Here is a 7431-nt window from a genome sequence, read left to right on the forward strand (position 1 = left end):
GTGTGAGCCACCACCCCCAGCCATAATTTTCTTTTCTTTAATTTAAAAAACTACACAGCTGGGCATGGTGGCTCACAGCTGTAATCCTAGCATTTTGGAAGGCCGAGACAGATGGATCACTTGAGGTCAGGAGTTCGAAACCAGCCTGGCCAATATGGTGAAACCCCGTCTCTACTAAAAATACAAAAAAATTATCCAAGCATGGTGGTGCATGCCTGTAATCCCAGCTACTCAGGAGGCTGAGGCAGGAGAATCACTTGAATCCAGAAAGTGGAGGTTGAAGTGAGCCAAGATCATGCCACTGCACTCCAGCCTGGGCGACAGAGCAAGACTCTGTCTCAAAAAATAAAGAATATGGAATGCTTCACGAATTTGCATGTCATGCTTGTGGAGAGCCCACACTAAACTTCTCTGTATCATTCCAATTTTAGTATATGTGCTGCTGAAGCGAGTACAAAATTTTATATAATTTTTATGTGTCAATAAAGAGTACTCATCTGATTTCTTCCAACCATTTAACAATGTAAAAATCATTAACTCAGGCTATGCAAAAACAGGCAGTGGATGGGATCTGGCCCAAGCGCTGTGGTTTACTAACTCCTGATCTAGACCTACCCTGCCTTCTTAAATCTCTTCTGGAGGGATCCCATTAAGTTGGGGAAGATGGAGTTTCCCCAAGTTTGTGCGGCGGTCTGTTTTTCCAACTTGCTAGGGCCTAGATCCTGTCTTCTAGATGTTTTGACTTTTTTTTTTTTTTTTTTTTGAGACAGAGTCTCACTCTGTTGCCCAGGCTGAAGTGCAGTGGCATGATTTCAGCTCACTGCAGCCTCCGCCTCCCGGGTTCAAGCAATTCTCATGTCTCAGCCTACCAAGTAGCCGGGACTACAGGCATGTGCCACGATGCCTGGGTAATTTTTGTATTTTTAGTGGAGACAGGGTTTCACTATGTTAACCAGGCTGGTCTCGAACTCCTGACCTCAGGTGATTTGCCCACCTCAGCCTCCCAAAGTGCTAGGATTACACGCGTGAGCCACTGTGCCCAGTCAAGCTGTTCTTTCTGTGTCACCTGTCAGGCTCTGACAATCAGCTACCGTGTTCCAGCATCATTTGAACCCTTTTAATAGGACTCCTCTTCCACTCAGCGATGCCTGTTCTGAAGCATGGATAAAACGCAACAGAATACACACTTAAATTAGTTGGTTGAATTTTTATGGCATGTAAAATGGCTGATTTTTTTTTTAAATAAACAAAAAAAGAAGAAAGAATATACACTTAAAAGTGGCTTATAAAGAAGCTTTAAATTCTGGATCTTGAAGCTCTCAACAGGGCACTAGTTGTTCTGCTCTGGATACTTCCAGCTGCATTTTGCAGAGGGTGCGGATATGTTTGCCCAGAAACAGGCTTGCAGAGGCTAATTCTGGCTTCAAGAGTTGCTTTCTCCTGACCAAGAGGATTGAGGAAAGAAAGCCCCCTGCCCTCTTTATCAGGGATTTCCTGTGGGTGGAATGAAAGACTGCTTTAGGGTACTTTGGGAATAGATTTTTATCTGCTTTGGCAGTCTCTCAAATGAAAGACCAGAAAACACACCTTGAATGTCAGAAAAAGGAGTTTCCTGCAGAGAGCTTTGCAAATCTTTTGTAATTCCAGTGGAGTCCTGGGGATTGTGCCCAGTGCCTTAGAGCAGAAATTTCAAACCTGCCGGGTGTGGGTGAGCACCGGCCTTCCAGGTACCTCCCCAAGCCAAAAAGTCAATACCAGGAAAGGAAGAGACGGATTTTGCCTTGTTTTTGCCTTGTCTTGGGGTGAGCCCAACAGTGAGAGGGAAACCCTAGTACAGATGCAAACAAAAGGGCCCACGACATCCTATAGCCCAGTCCTGGAGAGGAGGCAAAGAAAAAGGCAAGGCCCAAAATGCACTAGTAATAGGGCCTTCCTTGACCAAGGAGGATGCAGATTTACTGGGGGCTTCTTCCAGAGTAACAAGTACAAATTCCTGTGCCGTGGGGTGGAGCTCATGCTACATTCCCTCTCTCTCTGCAGGCGAAGGTACTTATGCCTCAGGTCCATACCAAAAGAGGGTGGAGGTAGGGAGAAGGGAAGGTCAAGGCAGACCCTCCTCTTATTAAAGTGAACTGAAGTGTAGACCGAAGCCATGAGCCTTAGAGAGAAGCAGCTAAATGCAGGCACTGGTACTGGTCTGACCAGACCTGAGCCCTTCTCTGCAAGGTTTTTCCAGGAGTTAGGGGATTTTGTTTGTTTGGTTGGGCTGGCTGGTTGTTGGTTAGTTGTTCCAGTAGTAGGAAATGTTTAGAGCCTCAAAAACAAGCCGAATTTCTTTCGCAGTCCTTTTTCCTTGCAAAAGCCCGGCAGGCAATCAGAGGTAGGAGTTCATTATTCTGACAGGAACCAATTATCAACAGTTAGCAGAGGACAGGCAAAACCCCAGAGGGAAAAGGGTCCTTTCTCCCTTGAACACTGAATAAATTGAATTCAAGAGATAGTTTAACCTAGTAAGTATTCCTAAATTGTTGTTAGGATGCAAAGGTGAGGCCCCATGAGATAGCAAATAAATACGCTTTTCATTTTTCAGAAGATGAACCTGATGCCTAGAGTTCAAGAAAGATTTGCAACCACTGAGTGACAGAACTAGCTGCATTGGGATTGATAAGCAGAGAAACAAAAAAGAAAATACACTCCCCGTAGTAAACTGTAAACATGAAACAGAGCAGAACAGCAAAGAGGAAGAAAAATAGTAAGCTGACAGAAGTTAGATCAAACCTATGTGTTGGGACAATAAATGTGGGTATGAAAAGCTCACCCATGGGCCAGATGCGGTGGCTCACACCTGTAATCCCAGTACTTTGGGAGGCTGAGGGGAGTGGATCATTTGAGGTCAGGAGTTCGAGGCCAGCTTGGCCAAAATGGTGAAACCACATCTCTATTAAAAATACAAAAATTAGCCAGGCGTGGTAGTGCACACCGGTAATCTCAGCTACTTTGGAGGCTGAGGCAGGAGAATCACTTGAGGAGAATTGCTTGAACCTGGGAGGCAGAGGTTGCAGTGAGCCAAAATTGTGCCACTGCACTCCAGCCTGGGCAACTCCATCTCAAAATATACACACAAGCAAACAAGAAAAAGTTCACCCATGAAACAGAAAAATTCTTAGAATGCCTCAGACACAAACAGTTTTTCAGCATATGCTTTATGCTTTGTTTCCTTATACTCTTACTAGTCAATTACATTAACAGATTTTCTGATGTTGAATCATCCCTTAATAACTAGAATCCACTCTATTTTGCCATGATATGTGATATTTTGATACATTAATCAATTCAACCTGATAATCATTTAAAACTGTTTTGAACCATGAAAAGTCTGAGATTTTTAACCCACTTGCAAGCTAACAAGTTAGCCTGCTATAGTGTCATGCATATTGACAAAATACGAGACTCCTGGGTCAGAGGCAAAGGACTTCATTACTCACAGCATAGCAAGTGGCATAAACATCATGTTCCCTTGGATTCCCTTGCCCCACAAGTACCACAGGAACAGAGTGAAGGGGCCGGAACGGATGCTATACACACAGCAGGGCTTGTGCCACAGCTAAGCAACTCCAAGCTTAGGGAGACTAAATCTTTTATAAAGAGAAGTTAACAAAGCTACTAGAGGGAAACATTATTTGTATCACACTAGGCAGTAAGCAAACCTGTGTTCTGCTCAGGATAGAGGTTCTATCACTATCTTCCGAAGTTGTTGATTGTACAAACATCTTCGAAAATATAGTCTGGGGCCGGGCACGGTGGCTCACGCCTGTAATCCCAGCACTTCGGGAGGCCGAGGCGGCTGGATCACCTGAGGTCAGGAGTTCGATACCAGCCTGACCAAAGTGGTGAAACCCTGTCTCTACTAAAAAAATACAAAAATTAGCCAGGTACGGTGGTAGGTGCCTGTAATCCCAGCTACTCGGGAGACTGAGGCAGGAGAATCACTTGAACCCGGGAGGTGGAGGTTGCAGTGAACTAAGATTGCGCCATCACACTCCAGCCTGGGGGACAAGAGCGAGACTTTGTCTCAAAAAAAAAAAAAAAAAGAAAATATAGTCCGGAACAAAAGAGCAGTTAGTACCTCTGTTTGTAAGACATGCAGAAACACAAGAGACCCACAGAGTGTCTCCCAACAGAATTTTGTGTACATTGGCATATATTTGTAAGTGAAATTTATCTATAGTTTTTTTTTTTTTTTTTTTTTGGAGAGCTATTCAGTTTGAGAGGAATCAGTATTTTGCTAGCTCCATAGAAAATATTAATAAATTATCATATTTGTACACATTTAAAGAAAACATTGGGATAATATAGTCTTCAAAGCATTATAGAGCTTACTTATATAATTGTCTTGGTCTAGTACCTTTCTTGGGTATACATTTTTGATCACCATTTGAATTTCTTCAGTGGGTATTGATCTTTCAGAACTCCTGCCTCATCAGTCTGTGTTTTTGTTTTTTTGTTTTGTTTTGTTTTGTTTGTTTGTTTGTTTGTTTGTTTGAGATGGAGTCTTGCTCTGTCACCCAGGCTGGGGTGCAATGTCGTGATCTCGGCTCACTGCAACCTCCGCCTCCCCGGTTCAAGCAATTCTCCTGCCTCAGCCTCCTGAGCAGCTGGGACTACAGGCACCCACCACCGTGCCCACCACCACGCCCAGCTAATTTTTGTAGTTTTAGTAGACATGGGGTTTCACCATGTTGGCCAGGCTGGTCCTGAACTCCTGACCTCAGGTGATCTGCCTGGCTCGGCCTCCCAAAGGGTTGGGATTACAGGCATGAGCCACCATGCCCGGCTGAGGTTGTAATAATTTACTAAGTAGACTCATGCAACCCTGGATCCAACTTTAGCCCACGCTAAATAATGTTAAGATATCAGAAACATTTGGCATATGACAGATGCAAGATGGATGCGAGATTCCTTTCATATCCACATTTAGCTTTCCAGTTAAGCAAGTGTAAAACAGTGAAGGGCTTGAATCATAGTAATATGTTATAGACTTAATCTGGTAATAACTAGCAATTCCCCTTCTAGATGTGGTCTTTCTATTGGAGAAAATCAAAATAGCCTTTCGTATTTGATATGGAAGTATTTATGTGACAATGCTGTATTTTTCTTAATTTAAGAAACAGAGGAAATTGGAGGTAGTTTGCATTCATCAGGTAGGGGTAGCTATAGACCTTTACTGCTCTGCCTGGAGGGTATGCTAAATCTCAAAGTGCATGCCACAGGTTTTATCTGCTGATAACTTTACCATTTATTACCCCACAGGTCATTACTAGTTCTCTCCAATAGTGACACAATAATAATGGAGAGCAAGAAGTAGATATCCATACATGTCTTTATAAAATAAAATATGAGAAAGCAGAAAATAAATCTTCAAAACTTACAGGGCTGCTTACCTAGTGAAGTTTCTATAGGTCACATAATCTGAAGTTTGACAAAATATGCCCTCTAATGTGACAGATTCCAATCATCTGCACCCCCTACAATGAAGAAAGAAGTACAGTGCTTGATGGGTCAACATATGCAGTAATCCCCCATCCATGGTTTCGCTTTCCATAGTTTCAATCACTTCAGGTCAATTGAGGTCCAAAAATAGTTGAGTACAAACTGGCTGCAGGGCTCCCACCTATAATCCTAGGTACTCGGGAGGTGGAGGCAGAAGGATTGCTTGAGGCCAGGAGTTCAAGATAAGCCTTGGCCGGGTGTGATAGCTCACACCTGTAATCCCAACACTTTGGGAAACACAGGCGAGCAAATCACCTGAGGTCAGAAGTTCGGGACCAGCCTGGCCAACATGGCAAAACCCCACCTCTACTAAAAAATACAAAAAAATTAGCCGGGCATGGTGGTGGATGCCCGTAATCCCAGCTACTTGGGAGGCTGAGGCAGGAGAATCACTTGAATCTGGAAGGTGGAGGTTTCAATGAGCCAAGATCGTGCCACTACACTCTAGCCTGGGCGACAGAGTGAGATTCCATCTCAAAAAAAAAAAAAAAAACACAAAAAAAACAAAAACAAAACAAAACAAAACCAGCCTGGACAACATAGCTGAGACCTTGTTTCTAAAATAAATAAATAAATAATGTTTTTAAAAACAGGTGAGTACACACTAGGCATGGTGGCTCATGCCTGTAATCCCAACACTTTGGGAGGCCAAGGCAGTCGGATGACTTGTGGTCAGGAGTTCGAGACCAGCCTGGCCAACATAGTGAAACTCTGTCTCTACTAAAAATACAAAAAAATAGCCAGGGGTGGTGGCGGGTGTCTGTAATCCCAGCTACTCGGGAGGCTGAGGCAGGAGAATCATTTGAACCTGGGAAGCAGAGGTTGCAGTGGGCAGAGATTGTGGCACAACACTCCAGCCTGGGCAACAGAGCAAGACTCTGTCTCAAATAAATAAATAAATAATAGGTGAGTATAGTACAATAAGATATTTAGAGAGAGGGGGAGGGAGAGATTACATTTGCATAACTTTATTACAACATATTGTTATAATTGTTCTATTTTATTATTGTTGTTAATCTTGTACTGTGCCTAATTTATAAAATAAACTTTATCATAGGTATGTATGTATGTATAAGAAAAAGCATAGTGGCCGGGTGTGGTGGCTCACACCTGTAATCCCAGCACTTTGGGAGGCCGAGGCAGGCAGATCACCTGAGGTCAGGAGTTCAAGGCCAGCCTGGCCAACATGGTGAAACCCTGTCTCTACTAAAATACAAAATTAGCCAGGCATGATGGCGGGTGCCTGTAATCCCAGCTACTCAGAAGGCTGAGATGGGAGAATCGCTTAAACACAGGAGATGGTGGTTGCAGTGAGCTGAGATCGTGCCACTGCACTCCAGCCTGGGAGGCTGAGCGAGATTCTGTCTCAAAAAAAAAAAAAAAAGAAAAAAAGAAAAAACATAGTAGTATATATAAGATTCAGAACTATCTGTGGTTTTAGGGATCCACTAGGGGTCTTGGAACATATCCCCTGTAGATAAGGGATTACTGTAGTTATTTGTTTGTCCTGCCCCAAGGATGAATCTATAATCTGACATCCTTGAGTGAAGTCCAGAGAAAGAGGAAACTCTCTAGCTTACCCTAAATTGTATAATAAGTAGCTCTGCCACCTATCTCAATATATACTTCGTGCTTCACGTGTCTACAGCAGGTAAGAAGGCTTTATGGAGTCCATGGCAAGCTTTAGCAGAATAATTATGGAAGTTACTAAAATTTTAGAATGAAAGCATGCCTCTTTCAATATATAATTCTTCTCCTTTTAAGATGCAATTCTTTTTTTCTTTTTGAGACAGAGTCTTGCTCTGTGGCTCAGGCTGGAGTGCAGTGGCGTGATAGCTCACTGCAACCTCCACCTCCTGGGTTCAAGCGATTCTCCTGCCT

General features: G+C 43.3%; 1 pseudogene, besides 1 other annotated feature; it reads right to left on the reverse strand.

Annotated features, from left to right (window-relative positions):
• On the reverse strand, nucleotides 349-455 carry RNU6-1007P (RNA, U6 small nuclear 1007, pseudogene; annotated as a pseudogene).
• Nucleotides 1521-2127: an enhancer, noted in NCBI's record as "OCT4-NANOG-H3K27ac hESC enhancer chr2:88715589-88716195 (GRCh37/hg19 assembly coordinates)". NCBI's record gives its function as "activates a minimal SCP1, AML or CMV promoter by ChIP-STARR-seq in primed H9 embryonic stem cells {active_cell/tissue: H9 hESC(primed)}" and the evidence as "EXISTENCE:reporter gene assay evidence [ECO:0000049][PMID:30033119]".

Source organism: Homo sapiens, chromosome 2 (assembly GCF_000001405.40).
Source record: "Homo sapiens chromosome 2, GRCh38.p14 Primary Assembly".
NCBI lineage: Eukaryota > Metazoa > Chordata > Mammalia > Primates > Hominidae > Homo > Homo sapiens.